This window comes from Homo sapiens, chromosome 17 (genome assembly GCF_000001405.40).
Source record: "Homo sapiens chromosome 17, GRCh38.p14 Primary Assembly".
Taxonomy (NCBI): domain Eukaryota; kingdom Metazoa; phylum Chordata; class Mammalia; order Primates; family Hominidae; genus Homo; species Homo sapiens.
In genome coordinates, this window is record NC_000017.11 from 9,682,297 (window position 1) to 9,703,139 (window position 20,843).

A 20,843-nucleotide genomic window follows, 5' to 3' on the forward strand; every position below is an offset into this window, starting at 1 on the left:
GTGGCTCACGCCTGAAATCCCAACACTTTGGGAGGCCAAGGCAGGAGGATCACTTGAGGTCAGGAGTTCAAGACCAGCTTGGCCAACATGGTGAAACCCCATCTCTACTAAGAATACAAAAAAATTAGCTGGGCGTGGTGGTGCACATCCACAATCCCAGCTACTGGAGAGGCTGAGACAGGAGAATCATTTGAACCTGGAAGGTAGAGTTTGCAGTGAGCCAAGATTGTGCCACTGTACTCCATCCAGCCTGGGGGACAGAGCGAGACTCTGTCTTAAACAAACAAAAAACTATTGGGTGAACACAATTGCAAATTCACTACCATATTCTTGATGTTCGTATGCCAGGCGTCAGATGGCACAAATGCCATGAACCTCATTATCTCCTCCCCTAAAGCCCTCTAGTGGCCCCCCATTGGTGGTTAATAGATGCTCAAAGAGAAAGAGGGACTAGAGAAGCTAAGGCTCTGACCCAGGAAAGCAGCTCCTTTAGGAATATGAACAAATGTCATTCTCTCCCTTCTAGCTCATCCACTGGGTCTGTCGGCCTCCCCACGCCTGGCAGCCCGTGAGGGCCAGCGATTCTCCCTCTCTCTCCACAGTGAGAGCAAGGTGCTAATCCTCTTCTGTAACTTGGTGGGGTCAGGGCAGCAGGCTAGCAGGTATGTTTCACTTTATTCTTTTTTCATGTGGTGTCTGGGATTTGTAGACCTGTACTTGGGAGCCTGTCTAGAGTAAAATTAAACATTTATTCCCAAGGTTAATAAACTAGGAGCCAGAAGTAGGGTCCTTTCTGATTAAGAGGATTAGAAATATCTGCCTTAAGCATTTGGCTAACGTCATCATTCCTAACCATCAGACATCAGAGGCCTTCCTATTAATCGGAGGAACAATTTTTACTGCCTTCACCACTGTTATTTTATATTGTAAAACCTAGGCGGTGCAGTGCTAAAAGAAACTGGCTATAAGAAAAGAGGTGATAATTTGGTTGTCTGTCCAGAAAACCAAGAACTGGAAAGTGATTGGCAGTAAGGAAAGGGTTCAGGAAATTGATGGGTTATATAACAAATATACAAAAACAGATAGCTTTCTTATATAGCCCAAATAAAGTGTTTAAAAGACAGAATTACATTAAGATATATTTAGATGGATAAAATGTTTCTAAAAATGTATCTTGAATAATAAACTGGTAAAAACAAAAAGATTATTTAATAATAATTAAACTATTATTAATTAGCTCAGCTTTTAAAAATCAATTAGCCCAGCCTTACTTATTGAATAATTCATTAACTCTTAGTAATATGAAATACATCATTTTTATCATGTAATAAATACTTACAGATAGTTGGTCTATTTTGTTTGATTTAATTGCATATTCTTCTGCCTGTATTACAATATTTTAATAATTTCAGAATTATGGTATATTTCATATTACTACAGAGTGAGTGAATTGTTCAAAAGTAAGGCTGGGCTAATTGATTTCTTTGTTGCTTTTTATTTTAAATAGTCAACTTTTTACTCCTGCTATGAATTCACACGTATAAATTTCAGGTTGACTAGAGAGGTAACTAGAGAAAAGGAAGCCATGAAATAACTTAAAGATGGCCGAGGTGGGTGGATCATGAGGTCAGGAGTTCGAGACCATCCTGGCTAACACGGTGAAACCCCATCTCTACTAAAAGTACAAAAAACTATCCAGGTGTGGTGGCACGCACCTGTAGTTCCAGCTACTTGGGAGGCTATGGCAGGAGAATCGCTTGAACCCAGGAGGCAAATGTTGCAGTCGGCCGAGATTGCACCACTGCACTCCAGCCTGGGCGACAGATCGAGACTGTCTCAAAAAAAAATTAATAAATAAAAAATAAAAAATAAATTAATAAAGACAACATGGGAGAATATTTATGTCCTTGGGTGGGGGCTAGTTTAACATCAAAGTCAGGAGGCTGTAAAGGAAAAGGCTGATGTTTTAAATATATTTAAAAATTTAAACTAAAAGCAAATTTGAAAGGCAAAGGACAAATGAGGAAAGATATTTATGCCATGTGAGAGGTGAAGGATTTATGTCCATCCTCGAATTTTCCAGCTCTTGAAAATTAAGGAGATAAATACCCTTGGTGAAATGAACCACAGAGATGAACATTAGTTCACAGAAGAAATACAAGCATAGGTTAAAATATTCAGCATCAGCTTGGCACGGTGGCTCACGCCTGTAATCCCAGCACTTTGAGAGGCTGAGGCGGGCGGATCACCTGAGGTCAGGAGTTTGAGACCAGCCTGACCAATATGGAGAAACCCCATCCCTACTAAAAATACAAAAGTAGCCGGGCATGGTGGCTCACGCCTGTAATCCCAACTACTCGGGAGGCTGAGGCAGGAGAATTGCTTGAACCCGGGAGGCGGAGGTTGCGGTGAGCCGAGATTGTGCCACTGCACTCCAGCCTGGGCAACAAGAGTGAAACTCCATCTCAAAAAAAAAAAAAAAAAAAAAAATCAGCATCATTTGTAGTGGGAGAAATTCTGGTTGCAATAGCAAGATACTATTCTTAACCTCTTAGATTGTTAAATGATTTTTAGAAATTGATAATACTCATTCTGGGCCAGAGTCCGGGGAATCAGGTAAATTGGTATGGCTTCTTTGGAGGACAGTTTGGGAAGAAAGAGCTTTAGTCTTGTCTTTCTACTTCTGGAACTTTACCCTAAGGGAATAATTGTGCGCTCAAAGGTTATGTCCAAGGTTATATCTAGTTCCTGCGATAAGCAAGCATTGTTTAAATAAAAACTTGGAATGCCTCACAGTACAGGATGGATTAAGTAAACCGATCTGTCCATACAACAATGGACGCACAGTGCCCTTGCCTGTCCAGACAGATCACCTCATATTTGTGTTCTGCTTTAGCCAATTTTATTCAACAATTTCACATTCTTACCTCATTGGGTCTTCACACAGGCTGCAGCGAGGCCAGGAAGCAGTGAGTCGCTAGTGATTTGTCCAGGAGTACCCACGGCAGAGTTAGGGCCCATAGGCGCAGGCTCACCCAGCATTCTGTACACCATGAGCTCACTGCTGTGCGCTTACTATGTTGGGACATGGATACCATCCCAGTGATGAGAATATTCTCGATACCCCAACCAAAGTTGTGTCATCTGGATTTATGTCTCTGCCTTGCCTTCCCCTGGCTCCAAGCTTGTCTTACTCTATTCCCTGCTGTGAGTAAGAGATTTTGCCAGCTAGCTGGTCATTTTGAGTAATCTGTTTACACAGCAGCATCTACCTGGCTTTGTGTCACTGGGCCTCTGCTTACATTGCAGTGTCTCCATTTGTTACAAGGTTCTCTGATTGGCAATTTTGTATTGTGTTTGGCTTTAAAAAGCATTTACATTATTTTTAATCGACACATAATTGTACATATTTATGGGGTACGGAGTGATATTTTGATACATGTACATAGTGTGTAATGATCAAATCAGGGTAATTGGCATAACCGTCACCTCAAACATTTATCATTTCTTTGTGTTGGGAAGATTCAAAATCCTATCCTCTAGCTATTGAAAGCATACAATAAATTATTGTTAACAATAGTCACTCTATATTGCTATAGAACACTAGAGCTTATTTCTCCTATCTAGCTATAATTTTTATTCATTACCTAACCTTTTCCTAGCCCCCACTGGCGCCTCCCAGCCTCTAGTAGAACCACTATTCTACTCTACTTCTGTGACATTAACTTTTTTAGATTCCACATGAGGGAGTACATGCAGTATTTATCTTTCTGTGCCTGACTTATTTCACTTAACATAATGTCCTCCAGCCTCATCCATCTTGCCGCAAACAACAGGATTTCATTTCTTTTTTATGGGTGCATAGTATTCCGTTGTGTATATAGACCACATTTTCTTTTTCATTTCTTTTCCATTCATCCACCGATGTACACTTAGGTTGATTTGGAATCTTGGCTATTGTGAATAGCCCTGCAGTAAACACAGGAGTGCAGAGATCTCTTTGACATGATGATCTTTCCTTTGGATAAATACCCAGTAGTGGGATGGCTGGGTCACATGGTGGTTCTATTTTTAGTTTTTTGAAGAACCTCCATGCTTTTCTCCACGGTGTCTCCATTCCCACCAACAGTGTATAAGAGTTCCCTTTTCTCCATATCCTCACCAGCATTTGTTATTTCTTGTCTTTTTGATAATAGCCATCCTAACTGGGGTAAGATGATATCTCATTGGGGTTTTGACTTGCATTTCCCTGATAATTAGTGATGTTGGGCATTTTTTCATATGCCTGTTGGCTACGTGTGTCATTTTGAGAAATGTCTATTCAGACCCTTTGCCCATTTTTAAATGGGATTCTTTGGTTTTTTTTGCTGTTGAGTTTTTGTGCTTAGCTCTTGTCACTTATCCTATTGACAGGAAGCCAGGGTTAGAACAACCACTCATGACTGGTGGATGTTGCTGGTTTTTCCTTTGCTGGGATAACCCGATTTCCTTGGATTTTCAGGTTTGGGCCACCCTTCCTGATAAGGGAAGACAGAGCTGTTTCCTGGGCCCAGCTCCAGCAGTCTATCCTCAGCAAGGTCCGCCATCTTATGAAGAGTGAGGCCCCTGTACAGGTCAGTGGTGTGCATGCGTGTGTGTGTGTGTGCGTGCATGCGCATGTGCATGCGTGTGTGTGGGTGTGTGTATTGGGAGGGGTGGAATTTAGTGTAGCCCAGGAGAGGATAATTTGCTGTTAAAGAGTGTTCATACTGTTTTATAAAATGACTTAGATTTATTTGCAAGGAAGTAACCATCTTATAGTCTGTAGTGTTTTACTTTTGTGCCATTACAAAATACCTTTCATGGGCAGAGCTTTTTCTTATTAAATCTTTCAAAACACCATTGGGAAAATGGCATTTACATTAAAACGAAATTTTTTTTTTCACATTTTCCATCATTCCCTAAGCATTTACATTATTATTCCCAATTTTGTATGTTTATGGCTTACCATAGTTTTTCCTAGAAGATAGCATATTATAATAAATTGTAACTTTTATGTTTAAATCAACAATTTCAAGGGACTTGAGATAGAATTTCTGGGAAAATTAAAATGGATGATTATGTCCAAATATGAAAATCTAAATGTTAAAATAAGTTTGTCCAGTTTTTTAAAAACTAAGATAACTCAAAGGAAAACATTTGCCTTATTTATTTATTCTCAGATTGGTAGTTTCCAAACAAAAACAGCATGTTTAAAAACTATTGATTTTTTGTTTTTAGCTCCTATAATATCAGAAACTATTCTGATGGTTGCTTGACACAGAAGATGTTGAAATTTTTAGGGACAGGTCAGTTGTGTCAGATTCCTATTGTCCCCTAACTATTCCCATAGTAAAAGCTTTTTATTTGGGGCACACACAGATCTTATCTCAGAGATAATTCCTCATAATTCATGTTCCTTCCTGCTCAGCAAAAACCATATGTTTGATTTAGGATTTATACCAAATAACATTTTGTTAAAAACCTTCACTACATTTGTCCCAACTTTTATCTCTAAAGGATTTTGTTCAATGTACTGTAGATCAGATCCACCAAAGTGCCCAAATTAGAAACTCCTCTGCAAGTAGGTCAGTCTATCCGGTGAGAGTTTTGCCTTCTCCCAAACCTTGAGCTACTGATTATCGCAATGGATGAAACTATGCTTTTTTTGTTTGTTTGTTTGTTTTTTGAGACGGAGTCTCACTCTGTCGCCCAGGCTGGAGTGCAGTGGCGTGATCTCGGCTCACTGCAAGCTCCGCCTCCCGGGTTCACGCCATTCTTCTGCCTCAGCCTCCCAAGTAGCTGGGACTACAGGCGCCCGCCACCACGCCCAGCTAACTTTTTTGTATTTTTTAGTAGAGACGGGGTTTCACTGTGTTAGCCAGGATGGTCTCGATCTCTTGACCTCGTGATCCACTGGCCTCGGCCTCCCAGAGTGCTGGGATTACAGGTGTGAGCCACCGTGCCCGGCCAGATGAAACTAATTTCATGTGAGCATTTAACTCAGCCATCCTTACTCTTACCTGCTCACACTCCTGTCCTGTTTTTTTTTTTTGAGATGGAGTCTCGCTCTGTCACCAGGCTGGAGTGCAGTGGCGTGATCTCGGCTTACTGCAACCTCCGCCTCCCAGGTTCAAGCGATTCTCCTGCCTCAGCCTCCCAAGTAGCTAGGACTACAGGCAAGCGCCACCACACCCAGCTAATTTTTGTATATTTAGTAGACACGGGGTTTCACCATGTTGGCCAGGATGGTCTCAATCTCTTGGCCTCATGATCCTCCCACTTCAACCTCCCAAAGTGCTGGGATTACAGGCGTGAGCCACCACACCCAGCCACACCTGTACTTTTGCCTCCATACCTTTGCAGTCATTTTAGCTTTATTTTATTTTTGAGGCAGGGTCTCACTCTGACACCCAGGCTGGAGTGCCGTGGTGCGGTAATGGCTCACTGCATCTTTGACCTCCCAGGCTCAAGTGATCCTCCTGCCTCCGCCTCCTGAGTAGCTGGGACTGCAGGTGTATGGTACCGTACCCAGCTAACTTTTTTTTGTTTGTTTGTTAGAGACAGTTTCACCATTTTGCCTAGAGTGATCTTGAACTCCCGGGCTCAGTTGATCCATCTGCCTCAGCCTCCCAAAGTGTTGGGATTACAGGTGTGAGCCACTGTGCCCAGCCCAATTTCAATTTTAGAAATGGATCAAGCAATCAATGGGGCCAGCAAAATACTAATACGGGCAACCTTTGACTCAGCCACAGATGCTTTTTCACAGATTCACGGGTGAATGTATGGTCAGACATGCTTTTCTGTAGGAGTAATGTGTTCTAGATGGTTGTGAGGCTTCCAGGCTAGCCAACCCATTTAACCCATAATTCTTTTAATACTATATTAAATACTGGTTCAAATATAGTCATTTGAAGAGAATATATTCAGGAGTCTCAACATTGAACTGAAGAGATTAAACATATTGTATTGAAGGTTTGGACATGAACTTCCCTAGCCAAGAATTGAGAACAGGAAAGTTTCTTACAAAAATGACCAGTTTACTGGATAGGATTAATTTGCATGTATTATGAAAAAAATAAAAGCTATCAATGCCAATTTTTTTTTTTTTTAAAGAGATAGAGTCCCACTCTGTTGGCCAGGCTGGAGTGTGGTGGTGTGATCATAGCTCACTGCAGCCTTGAACTCCTGGGCTCAAGTGATCCTCCCACCTCATCCTTGCAAGTAGCTGGGACTACAAGCACCTGCCATCATGCCTGGTTAATTATTTTAATTTTTTTGCAGTGATAGGGTCTCACTGTGTTGCCCAGGTTGGTCTTGAACTCCTGGCCTCAAGAAGTCCTCCCACATTGGCCTCCCGAAGTGCTGGGATTACAGGCATGAGCCACCATGCCTGGCTACCCAAACACTTTTATGGTATTTTGTAAACGGGGGTGTGTGAGGCCAGCACTATTTGTGTGCAGGCAGAGTAGGCTGCCTCTGTGCAGATGTTGGTGCCGTAATGATGGCTGACTTTTGCTGTCCAAACAACAAGGCTCCATTAGGGGCGGAGGAAAAAGAGTCTTCTCCCCCAGATTTAAATTAACATTCTCCTTAGGGAGAATACCCTTCCGTGGCCAACCCTCAATCAAAGCCCCTGAAGTCATCTTACTTCCAGACGTTGATTTCGTCTTTGTTGAAGCCGTAGACGAACTGGAACGTGGTTAGAGTCTGGCTAGACGTATGAGCTCCCTGCCCTTCACACTCAAGACCCCCTGCAGCCCAGTTCCAGTTTACCCACCAGCCTTGTGGCCGATGCTCCCTGCACACGTCAGCTCCCACAGCCAAAGGGGTCGGCTCACAACTCTCTGCATCTGTTTCGGGTCATTCTGTCCTACCATGTGTCATTCCTCTTTCCTGGAATTATGATGCTTTTCTCTTGTTTTCCTCTCATAATTCAACCTAGGTTTCCTCCATGGTTTTTAAGAAAACATGTCTGCCTTTTACCTTTGTCAGAGTTTGGAAGAAAATTTTATTTTATTTCTGGTTGTCAAGATCATCAGTGACAAATTTAAGCACCTATTTCTTTTATTTGAATGAAGACCCCGTTGATTTTTTAAAAAATTTTGGTAAAAGATATATACATTTATTTATTTTAACCACTCATAAGTGTATATTAATTACATTTACAATGTTGTATCACCATCACTACTATGTATACTCCCGATTTTTTCATCATCAACAAAAACTTTATTAAACATTATACTGATTAAAACAAAAACCTTATACCTATTAAAAAACTAAAATGTTGCCAGACGTGGTGGCTCACGCCTGTACTCCCAGCACTTTGGGAGGCCGAGGCAGGTGGATCACCTGAGGTCAGGAGCTCAAGACCAACCTGGCCAACATGGTGAAACCCCATCTTTACTAAAAATACAAAAATTAGCCAGGTGTGGTGGCAGGTGCCTGTAATCCCAGCTACTCGGGAGGCTGAGGCAAGGGAATCACTTGAACTGGAGAGGAGGAGTTTGTAGTGAGCCGAGATCGCACCACTGCATTCCAGCCTGGGTGACAGAGCAAGACTGTCTCAAACAAACAAACAAACTATACCTATTAAACAACAATTCCACGTTTTCTCCTCTGCCTAGCTCCTTGTAGCTACCATTCTACTTTCTATCTGTATGAATTTTCCTGTTTTAGGTACCTTATATAACTAGAATAATATAATATTTATCTTTTTACATCTGGCTTATTTCACTAAATGTCATGTTTTCAAGGGTCATCTGTGTTGTAGCATATCTCAGAATTTCCTTCATTTTTTTTTTTTTCTTTTTTTTTGAGATGGAGCTTCACTCTTGTTGCTCAGGCTGGAGTGCAATGGCGTGATCTCAGCTCACTGCAACCTCCACCTCCCAGATTCAACTGATTCTCCTGCCTCAGCCTCCTGAGTAGCTGGGATTACAGGCACCCGCCACCACACCTGGCTATTTTTTTTTGTATTTTTAGTAGAGATGTAGCTTCTCCATGTTGGTCAGGCTGATCTCGAACTCCTGACCTCAGGTGATCCATCTGCCTCAGCCTCCCAGAGTGCTGGGATTACAGGCGTGAGCCACCGCGCTGGGCTGCCTTCATTTTTAAGGCTAAATAATATTCTGTTGTGTATATATCCCACATTTTGTTTATCCATTGTTGGTGGACACTCAGGTTGTTTCTTTCTTTTGACTTGTGAATCATGCTGCCGTGAACATTGGTGTATAAATATCTGTTCAAGCCCCTCCTTGCGACTCTTAGATATACACCTAAGAGAATTAAAGGTTATATGGTAGTTCAACATTTAACCTTTTGAGAAACTGCTGAACTGTTTTCTACAGCAGCTGTACCATCCATTTTATGTTCCCACCAGCAATGCATAAGGGTTCCAGTTTCTCCAAATTCTTGCCAATGCTTGTTATTTTCCATTAAAAAAAAAATTAGGCCAGGTGCGGTGGCTCATGCCTGTAATCCCAGCACTTTGGGAGGCCAAGGCGGATGAGGTCAGGAGATCGAGACCATCCTGGCTAACATGGTGAAACCCCGTCTTTACTAAAAATACAAAAAAAATTAGCCGGGTGTGGTGGCGGGCGCCCGTAGTCCCAGCTACTCAGGAGGCCGAGGCAGAGAATGGCAAGAACCCGGGAGGCAGAGCTTGCAGTGAGCTGAGATCACACAACTGCACTCCAGCCTGGGCGACAGAGCGAGACTCCATCTCGAAAAAAAAAGAAAATTAAAACAAATTTAATTGTAGGCTGGACGTGGTGGCTCATGCCTGTAATCCCAGCATTTTGGGAGGCCGAGGTGGGCGGATCGCGTGAGGTCAGGAGTTCAAGAGCAGCCTGGCCAACATGGTGAAACCCCATCTCTACTAAAAATACAAAAATTAGCCAGGTGTGGTGGCAGGCACCTGTAATTCCAGCTACTCAGGAGGCTGAGGCAGGAGAATCACCTGAACTCAGGAGGCAGAGGTTGTAGTGAGCTGAGATTGTGGCACTGCACTCCAGCCTGGGCGACAGAGTGAGACTTTGTCGTCTCAAAAAAAAATTTAATTATAGCCATCCCAGTGGGTGTGAAGTGGTACCTCAGCGTTGTCTTGATTTGCATTTCTCTAATGACTAATGATGTTGCTGATCTTTTCATGGGCTTCTTGGCCATCTGTACATCTTTGGAGAAATATCTGCACAAATGTTTGCCCATTTTTTAATTGAGTTGTTCATTCCATTGAATTTTTAAGAGGCATCTTCCGTTAAATATGTCATTGTAAGCCTCATTTCAATTTCAGAAAAGTTAAAATATAATAAACACATATCTTAGAATAATAACTAAGGTGCTATCTCTTTATGTGGCTTATTTTAAAATGTATAAATATTTACTTTGTCTGTAAAATATACATGAACTGGCTTTTAGAAAATTGCCTCATTGTGGGGATGATAATCATCTTAATAAAGTAGGTTAAGTTACCTATTAAAAATTAATTAACATGATTGATTTATGTTCCATTACATGTACCAGTATCTGCTCCAGTTAAGCATTTACTATTTAAACACACTGTGTTCATTTTTGGGGGGAAGATGTAACATATTAAACACAGTATTAGATCACTGCATTACAGGGTATAGTGTGAATCTGAAAAAAATGAAGTTTTTGTCTCTTAATTTTGAATTCTAATTATTACGGGAATATTCAAAATACACTATGGAAAATAATGATTATATTTTTTAATGTATGCGCCCCTTTAGAGTCTAATTTAAATCAATATAGGGGCTACGTAATGATCCATGTCTGTTTTTGTCTTCGCAGAACCTGGGGTCTCTGTTCTCCATCCGTGTTGTGGGACTCTCTGTGGCCTGCAGCTATTTGTCTCCGAAGGACAGTCGGCCCCTCTGTCACTGGGCAGTTGACAGGTAAGGGGGAAGGTCCAGGTTCAGTCAGCTAATGAACCCTTTCTTATTTTACCAGAGTCCTTTGAGGGTATATGTCAATGAGATTGCTCATAGTATTTGTTATTCTTGATCACTTACCTCTCCAGTACCAGCCGCTATGTTAGGTCATTGGGCATGTTCTGTGCTTTGAACCCGTATGTCTGGAGAGGCACTATTATGTCCGCTTCAAAGATGGGGGGGACACCAACGTTCTCAGAGGTTAGTTAACTTGATCACACTTAAAAAGCTAGTTAATAGGCAAGCCTAAATTTGAACCCAGATTGATCTAACTAAAACCCAAATTCAGCCAGGCATGGTGGTTCACGCCTGTAATCCCAGCACTTTTGGAGGCTGAGGTGGGTGGATTGCCTGGGGTCAGGATTTTGAGACCAGTCTGGCCAACATGGTGAAACCCCATCTCTACTAAAAATACAAAAAAATTAGCCGGTCGTGGTAGCACGCGCCTATAATCCTAGCTACTCAGGAGGCTGAGGCAGGGGAATTGCTTGAACCAGGGAGATGGAGGTTGCCGTGAGCCGAGATCGCGCCACTGCACTCTAGCCTGGGTGACAGAGCAAGACTCCATCTCAAAAAACAAAAACAAAAACAAACCAAAACACGAAATTCTTTCAATTAGGTCATGCTCCTGAATTCAACAGGAATATCTCCCTAGGGTATGTGAAGATTCTACAGCTGATTCATTGGTCCTAAACTGTAAGAGATTGTGGAGTGTGCCTGAGGCTTAAAGCCAGTGTGGCTGTGTCTCTGGTAGCTACCTTGATAGCCTTCTGGTGCGTGTGCCCTTGCAAAGCAATCCCCAGGTCATTGCAACATCTATGGGGCAGTTCTACTCTATAAACGAACTGTCTGGCACTTCTCTTTATTTTCCCATAGACCCCCAGGTTCTCAGTAAGGTCCTCTGATTTCCTGACTTGGTCAGCCAAATTCAACCTGACTGAGATGGGCCTTTCCCCTTGTAAAGAGACCAGGAACCAGGGTAGCAGGTGAGCCAGAAGGTTCTGTGACCTACACCCCATCCATATCCTCCTTGGCTGGCAGATGCTTTTGCTTTACAGAGTTAGGAAGGCAGGAGAAGGGTCATCAAGGGCCTGTTTGGGTCTCCCAGGGAGAGGAAGCCCCTTCCCACACTCAGTCTTGGAGATAACCCAAAGTGGTTCTGTAGACTGCCAGCCTGTGAGCTAATTGTCACCAGCCCGTGACAAGAACTTGAGAGGAAGCACTTACGAATGTTAAAGCAATATGACAGAGCAATCTATAATATGATGGATATGATAATTTCTTTTAAAAATGGAACTTTTATTTTATATGTCTTTCCTCACCCCCCATTACTTTTTTATTATTTATTATTTATTTATTTATTTATTCATTTTTGAGATGGAGTCTCGCTTTGTCTTCCAGGCTCAAGTGCAGTGGCGCCATCTCGGCTCCCTGCACCCTCCGCCTTTCTGGGTTCGAGCGATTTTCCTGCCTCAGCCTCCCCAGTAGCTGGGATTATAGGCACACGCCATCACGCCTGGCTAATTTTTGTATTTTTAGTATAGACAGGGTTTCATCATGTTGGTCAGGCTGGTCTCGAACTCCTGACCTCAAGTGATCCACCTGCCTCTGCCTCCCAAAGTGGTGGGATTACAGGTGTGAGCCACCGCACCCGGCCTATTATTTCTTTTTATAAAAGTGTTGGTCTGCAGTGGTTTGGAAACAAACCATCAAACTGGTCTTTTACCATAGGTAGTTTGAGAAGCGCTAGAATTGAGTAGAGTTCTACAGTAAGCTGACCATCCTAAAGGATATTCTCTTGAGGTCACACCCCTCCTGGCCCGCACCTTCCATTCACTGGACATCTTACCTCAGTCTGGCCCCTGTTCACCCCACTCCCATCCCCACCCCACCCCACAATCCCAGTCCCAGCCCTGCTGGTACAGCTCTCTCTGGCATCTAATGTGACCTTACCTCTTTCACAGGGCTCTCTATTTAGCCCTTGCCCTGCCTCTTCCATGCCTATCCCAACATCTCCTTGTTCTATAGGAAATTCTTTTTTTTCTTTTTGGTAAAATACATAGAACATAAAATTACTTTTTTTTTGAGATGGAGTCTCACTCTGTTACCTAGGCTGGAGTGCAATGGTGTAATCTTGGCTCACTGCAACCTCCGCCTCCTGGGTTCAAGCAATTCTCCTGCCTCAGCCTTCCAAGTATATGGTACTACAGGTGCGTGCCACCAGGCCCAGCTAATTTTTTGTATTTTTAGTAGAGACAGGGTTTCACCATGGTAGCCAGGATGGGCTTGATCTCCTGAGCTCGTGATCCACCCACCTCAGCCTCCCAAAGTGCTGGGATTACAGGCATGAGCCACCACTTAGGGCCAAAATTACATTTTAACCACTTGAAAGTGTACAGTTCAGTGGGATTGTTACATTTACCTTGTTATACATCCATTGCCACCATCCATCTCCAAAAATCTTTCATCTTGCAAAATGGAAACTCTGTACCCATCACACAATATCCCTCCCCTTCCTCTTCCTCAGTCTCTGGAAACCACCACTCCACTGTCTGTCACTGTGAATTTGACAACTGTAGATGCCTCAGGTAACAGGAATCATAGTGTTTATCCTTTTGTGTTTGGCTTAATTCACTAACCACCATGTTTTGAAGGTTCACCCATGTTGTAGCACGCATTAGAATTTCCTTCCTTTTGAAGGCTGAATAATATTCCATTGTATGTATACACCACCTAGAAATATATCTCCTAGAATTTTTTTTGTCTGCTTGAAATCTTCCTCTCCCTCTCTGGGATGCTCAAATATTATTGGGTCTCAGCATTCTACCCCTGGCCCTCTGGGTTCCATTTATGGGTGTTTTTTATGTTTTGTTTTGTTTGTTTTTTAGACAGAGTCTCACTCTGTCGCCCAGGCTGGAGTGCAGTGGCACAATCTCGGCTCACTGCAACCCCCGCCTCCTGGATTCAAGAAATTCTCCTGCCTCAGCCTCCCGAGCAGCTGGGACTACAGGTGCACACTGCCACCCCTGGCTAATTTCTTGTATTTTAGTATAAACGGGGTTTCACCGTGTTGCCCAGGCTGGTTGTGAACTCCTGAGCTCAGGCAATCCGCCTGCCTCTGCCTCCCAAAGTGCTGGGATTACAGTCGTGAGCCACCATGCCTGGCCCCATCCCTGGGTGATCCTACTCTTGGTTCTGTCTACTGCCTTTAGGCCAAAGTCTCCTAGATCCATATCTCCTGCCCAGATTTTTCTCTGGATTGCAGACCTGCCTGTCCTACTTAAATGCCTCATAGACACTGGTAACTAAACACTTGCCAGTCTGAACTCTTCTTGCTTAAAGCTTTCCATTTCCCATCTTTGTGTTTAAATGGTGACACCACCATCTACTCAGGACCTCAAGCTAGGAACCTGGCATCATCCCTGACCCCTTCTAATCTACGTGTTATAAACCACTCGGTGGCCTCCCAGTGCCCACGGGATAAAGTCCACACTTGTGAAGGTGGCCTACAAGGCCCTGCCTCTCCCATGTGGCCCGTCCCTCACTGTGCTGGGACTTTCCATTAGAGGGCACACATCCTGCCCTCTACTGGTGAGCCCTCCACCTGTGTGTCCCTTTCCCCTCTGGTTCCCCTGGCTGACTTTTTTAAGAAATTCATTAAATTTTTGGGCCAGGCACGGTGGCTCACGCCTATAATCCCAGCACTTGGGGAGGCCAAGGCGGGTGGATCACTTGAGGCCAGAAGTTCAGGCCCAGCCTGGCCAACATGGTGAAACCGCATTTCTACTGAAAATACAAAAATTAGCCAGGCATGGTGGCACACACCTGTAATCCCAGCTACTTGGGAGGCTGAGGCAGGAGAATCGCTTGAACCCAGGATGCGGAGCTTGCAGTGAGCCGAGATTGTTCCACTGCACTCCAGCCTGGGCAACAGAGCGAGACTCTGTCTCAAAAATAAATAAATAAATAAATAAAATAAAAAAGATAAAAATTTCTTAAAGTTTTGTTTATTATTCATTTATTTTTATTTCTATAACTTTCTTGGGTGAATGTTGTCTTCTCACTTATATAATTTTTTTTTTTAAGATTCATGGGTACGAGTGCAGGTTTTTACATGGATATATCATGTAACACTGGAGTTTGCATTTCTATATAACCCATCACTCAAATAGTGAGCATAGTACTCAATAAGTAGCTTTTCAACCCTCTCTCCCTTCTTCCCTCCCCCATTTTGCAGTGCTCAATATCTATTGTTCCCATCTTTATGTCCATGTGTACCCACGGTTTAGCTCTCACTTATAAATGAGGACATGTGGTATTTGATTTTCTGTTTCTGCATTCATTCACTTAGGATAATGGCCTCCATTTTCATCCATGTTGCTGCAAAGAAACAGGAATTCTTTTTTTTTTTTTTTGGCTGTGTAGTGTTCTGTGGTGTACATGTACCACATTTTCTTTATCCAATCCACCATTGATGGATACCCGGGTTGACTCCATGGCCTTACTATTATGACTAGTGATGTGACAAACGTGTGAGTGCAGGTGTCTTTTTGATACAATGATTTATTTTCCTTTGGGTTGATACCCAGGAGCAGAATTGCTGAGTTGAATGGTAGTTCTATTTTTAGTTCTTTGAGAAATCATCATACTTTTTTCCATAGGAGTTGAACTAATTTACATTCCAACCAACAGTGTCTAAGCATTCTCTTTTCTCTTCATCCTTGCCAATATCTGTTATTTTCTGACCTTCTAATAATAGCCATCTGCTGATGTGAGATGGTATTTCACTGTGGCTTTAATTTGCATTTCCTTGATGATTAGTGCTGTTGAGCAGCTTTTAATATGTTTGTTGGCCACTTATATGTCTTCTTTGGAGAGATGTCTTTCATGTCCTTTGCCCACTTTTTAATAGGATTATTTGTTTTTGTTGACTTAAGTTCCTTATATATTCTGGATATTAGTCCTTTGTCAGATGCATAGTTTGCAAAAATTTTCTCCCATCCTGTAGGCTGCCTCTTTATTCTGTTGATAGCTTCTTTTGCTGTGCAGACCTCTTTAGTTTAATTAAGTCCCATTTTTCAATGTTTGTTTATGTTGCATTTGCTTTCGAGGTCTCAGTCATTCCTCTGGCCAAGTCCTGCCCCATCTGTCCTCCAGAGCATCCTGGGGTGTGTGTCCCCAGACACCTGAGTGCATCAGAATGATCTCTTTGTATGCTCCTCCCATTAGCCTATCAGTCCCTTAAGGGTGGGGATTGTTAGGTATATACATTTCTTGGAGTAGCATCGCTCCATACACATTGAATAAGGCCCTCTTTCTTTTTGTATCAGAGCTGTGGTCTGGGCAGATAATCTCACCCTCTAGTGACAATCTGATTTCCATGTAAAGAAGGAAGTTGGGTGACAGCCACACCTCTTTCTTTCTGGGACCTAAGGAGTTTTGTACAATAAACTTGGAGCATGAAGGTACCAGTTTTCATTTTCCACTCCCATGTTTAAATTCCAGTTGAAAAGTAGACTGTGGATTGAGGCAGAAAGAGATGTAAATTTTAGGTTTATTCATAAGACTGATTAAGGATGCAGCTTAGATGTGAGTCCAATTTGGGCTTTCAAATGTGTTTCCCCAGAATTAAATTACGTACCCGCAGACCTCTGCCAAGGCAGATCTCCCCAATGGCAGGTCTCCCTCATTGTGGAAATGGAGAATTTGGGGGACCTAAAGAAAGAAGCTTAGATCTAGGGGTCCTCAGTCTGTCTCCTCAGAATGGAATATTTGTCACATACTTCCAGTCTTCCACCTGCAAGGCAGAGCTGCTTCCAGGAAACGCAAGGCATGGGTGGGGGAGAATGGCAGGTGGCTAGCTTGTAGGACATAGGTAGGCCTAATGACAGGACGTAGAGCCCACCTTCTTCTACAATCCCACCAATCAGATAAGGTGCTTCTCCTCCTTTGGAAGGAGTGAGGATGAGGAGGCAGCATGGTTCTCCCCGTCTACAGGAAATTGAGGGAGCAATCAGTGTTTTTCCCAATGCATCAGGGCTCCCTGGGCTGGGAGAACTTCTCCCAGACACGCCTTGTTCCTCACTCCCTCCTGGCTCACGCAGGAAGGTGCCACAACTCCAGCTCAGACCTGTCCATGCTCAGCCACAGGACTTTGTGCCTTCCATGAGCTCAAAACCTTTTATCAGATCATCTTAGTGGTAGTTTGGGACTCATCTGACATCCCCCCTTTTCTTGCAACACATTTGAAACACTCCTTTGGGTGTGGACGTTGCCATCACTTGTATCTGTTCCTATTGATTTCAGGATAAAACCTCATGTGCTCCACTTTGCTCTCTTCCCATCTCTTCTGTATTGAGGCTGATCCACCGTTTCTGAAATGGGCTGGGCCCAAGTAGTTGGAAAGAGCTACAGGTTGACAGGCACTGGGATTTTCTATGCACTGGAGGGTGTGGAAGGAGAAGACTTCTTAGGTTGTGGAGGGGGGCTTAAAGGTGCTCCTTCTGCATTGCAGTTGGGGGAAAGGTAGCAGCTCTCTTTGGGCATCATCAGTATTGGGTATTTGTGTAGGATGGTCAAGTGGAAGTGCCCTATAGACATTGAGAAGGTAGCTGGGGCTGCAGTGGAACAGCTGATCTATTTCCTCAAAGTAACCCCAAATCTACAGAGCTCACAAGCTCCCATGGGAATGAGGGGAGGCACTGTGAGGTTGGTCTGAAGTTCTGAGACGGAGCCTTCAGCAGACTTAGCAGCCTCCGAGGATAGCTGACCTTGGCTTACTGGCAGTTTTGGGTATTTCTGTTTGGAACATCAGTCCTTGGGTTGTGGGGGAGACTGCTGAGCCCTGAAGAGCTGTGGGAAGGAGGCCCCGTGTTTTCTGATGGGCTCCCTTGTTCTCTTCTCAGGGTTTTGCATCTCAGGAGGCCAGGAGGCCCTCCACATGTCAAGCTGGCGGTGGAGTGGGATAGCTCTGTCAAGGAGCGGTGAGTTCAAGGGAATTTGCCACCTGCAGAGCTGAGACAGGGCCTGTGTGTGCCCAGGTTTCCCTGGACGCAGCTTCCCCCAGCACGGCTGCAGGCAGGGTGCACACATCTTTGAGCCAGTGTAACCCGTTCCTGTGAGATGCCTGAGTGAGAATTTTCTGTATGTAAATAACAGTGACAGGAATGGAGGAATGGAGTGATGGTGGTGGTGGTGGGTGATGTCAGAAGTAGTAACTGCAGTCATAGTAGACAGTTACGTAGCACCCACCCACTCACCCCATGCCAGTCACTGCTCTGCACACTTCATGTGTGTATAGGGGATTTATTTAATCTTAATCACACCCTATGTGTGGGTGGTCTGGGGTGGATACTCCTGTAATCCACATTTCTCAGAGGTGGAAACTGAGGCACAGAGAGGGTAAGCAGTTGCTGGAGGGCACACAGCTTGTACATTGGCAGAGCTGGGATTTGAACCCAGACCCTCTGACTGGAGTCCATGCTCCTCATCACCATACTTGGCTACCTCTGTAACACTGAGGGCATCAGCCTTACTTTAAGAAAGGATGTCGTTCAGTCCAGCAAGTATTTATTGATCAACTTCTAGGTGCCAGGCCCTGTGCTAGGATGAGGAAAACAAAGATGAATAAGCCAAGGACCTGCCCTGTAGGAGCTGGTGGGGGAGAGAGAATTCCAGTAAAATATAGTGCTGAGTCAGAAGGATGCCTGCAGCTCTCCAGGAACCCATAGGCAGGGCACGGTAGTGTGGCCTGGCCAATGTCTGCTGACGGGTTTGCTGTGAGTAGAGACATAGACGAAACCTGTCTGGGAGCAGGAAAGTCCTGAACGCCGTGGGTGTCCTCTCCGTGCAGCCTGTTCGGGAGCCTCCAGGAGGAGCGAGCGCAGGATGCCGACAGTGTGTGGCAGCAGCAGCAGGCGCATCAGCAGCACAGCTGTACCTTGGATGAATGTTTTCAGTTCTACACCAAGGAGGAGCAGGTCCCGCCCTGGGGGTCCATGCCCCGGCCGGGAAGGGGGCTGGCTGCCTTTGGTGGGTTGGCCACGTGCTGCGGGGGCCTCACAGTCCGGGTGGTTTGCTTTCCAGCTGGCCCAGGATGACGCCTGGAAGTGTCCTCACTGCCAAGTCCTGCAGCAGGGGATGGTGAAGCTGAGTTTGTGGACGCTGCCTGACATCCTCATCATCCACCTCAAAAGGTTCTGCCAGGTGGGCGAGAGAAGAAACAAGCTCTCCACGCTGGTGAAGTTTCCGCTCTCTGGACTCAACATGGCTCCCCATGTGGCCCAGAGAAGCACCAGCCCTGAGGCAGGACTGGGCCCCTGGCCTTCCTGGAAGCAGCCGGACTGCCTGCCCACCAGTTACCCGCTGGACTTCCTGTACGACCTGTATGCCGTCTGCAACCACCATGGCAACCTGCAAGGTGGGCATTACACAGGTGAGCCTTGCCTTGCCTTTCTGCAAATGCAGCTGTGGCCACAGCCTCGAGATGTCCCTGGAATGGGTGTTGCTCAGATGCTGAGCTCCCTGGGGCACTTATTGAGATCCGACCCCTCACCCACCGCACACCAGGAAGATGAGGATGAGGAAAACAAAGATGAATAAGCCAAGGACCTGCCCTGTAGGAGCTGGTGGGGGAGAGAGAATTCCAGTAAAATATAGTGCTGAGTCAGAAGGATGCCTGCAGCTCTCCAGGAACCCATAGGCAGGGCACGGTAGTGTGGCTGTCTCGCACCATGTGCGAGAGCAGAAGGGACCTTGTCCCAGCTATAGAGTTGACATTGAGTTAGGTTGGAGGTTGGAATATGTAAAGTTAGGCCTGATGCAGTAGCTCATGCCTGTAATCCCAGCACTTTGGGAGGCTGAGGTGGAAGAATCACTTGAGGCCAGGGGTTCAAGACCAGCCTAGGCAACAAAGTGAGACCCCCGTCTCTACAAAAAAAATGAAAAAAAAAAATGAGCTAGGCATTGTGGCTTACACTTGTAGTCCTAGTTGCTCAGGAGGCTGAGATAGGAGGCTGAGGCCGTGGTGAACCATGATTGCACCACTGTACTCCAGCCTGGGCAACAGAGCGAGACCGTGTCTCCAAAACAAATAAACCAACAAACAGAGGTTAGTTACTGCCCAAATTTTCAACCATATTAAATATGGGAGGTCATTATTGGAACCAAGAGAGTGACATTCATTCTCATCTGTGATTCAGCGTGAGGAATCTTACTTATCGGATTTGGTATCCTTTTATTCTATGGGGTACTTTTCATGTTTATTCCTCTGGGGAATTTCAGAGCAGTGGATGAAGGGAAGGGCATAAACAAATGGCCAGATTTTCTCAATCGTTCATAATCATCCCTTTGAGTGTTTTCAGAGAGTGTCATGAGGGATGATTTTTCTCGATTATGTCATTGTTTGCTTCTCCCCCACCAGGGCCTCTCAGTGACGGTGAGAAGCCTATTGGTAGCTGCGGCAATTGAGTGTCTCCACCGTGCAGATAGTGTGGAGGGTCATCGGGGTGAGCCTTAGGAGTCCAGGGGGTTTAGGGCATGATTTCCGCCATCGGAGAATGGATGGAACAGGCCCCCATAGAGAAAGAGAAATGAGGATGCAGTTACAGGCTGGGGACCACCTGAGTGGACAGAGATGCGCTGGATGGTGGGCCAGCCTAGGCTGGTCATGGTGAAGGTTATGGGAGCCACCAAAGCCGCTTTCAGCTGACAGTGGCCGCCTTATGCTGCTGTGCGGTGCCAGCCTGTTCTTCCACAGCTGTCCTGCTCCAGATGAGGGCTTGCCACCTTTGTAACTGCTGGGACCATTCTGTCCAGCCACTTCCCCTGTCTCACTTCTCTGGGCCGAAAATAGCTCAGCAGGAATCCCTTGAG

General features: G+C 44.7%; 1 protein-coding gene across 8 annotated transcripts in view, besides 1 other annotated feature; it reads left to right on the forward strand.

Annotated features, from left to right (window-relative positions):
• USP43 (ubiquitin specific peptidase 43) overlaps positions 1-20,843 on the forward strand; it is an 84,428-nt gene that overhangs the window by 37,037 nt on the left and 26,548 nt on the right. For 5 of the 8 annotated variants that reach the window (XM_017024159.3, NM_153210.5, XM_011523639.3 and 2 more), the window contains 6 exons: positions 527-662; positions 4,502-4,613; positions 10,831-10,934; positions 17,876-17,953; positions 18,823-18,949; positions 19,056-19,404. In XM_017024159.3, the coding sequence (XP_016879648.1) occupies positions 527-662; positions 4,502-4,613; positions 10,831-10,934; positions 17,876-17,953; positions 18,823-18,949; positions 19,056-19,404 (906 nt within the window). The remainder of the gene's footprint in view (positions 1-526; positions 663-4,501; positions 4,614-10,830; positions 10,935-17,875; positions 17,954-18,822; positions 18,950-19,055; positions 19,405-20,843) is intronic. The other 3 variants (XM_047435319.1, NM_001267576.2, XM_047435320.1) reach the window with 1 other exon arrangement.
• Positions 18,501-19,700: an enhancer, noted in NCBI's record as "CDK7 strongly-dependent group 2 enhancer chr17:9604114-9605313 (GRCh37/hg19 assembly coordinates)". NCBI's record gives its function as "activates an origin of replication core promoter dependent on BRD2, BRD4, P300/CBP, MED14 and CDK7 cofactors, with strong dependence on CDK7, by STARR-seq in HCT116 cells {active_cell/tissue: HCT116}" and the evidence as "EXISTENCE:reporter gene assay evidence [ECO:0000049][PMID:35650434]".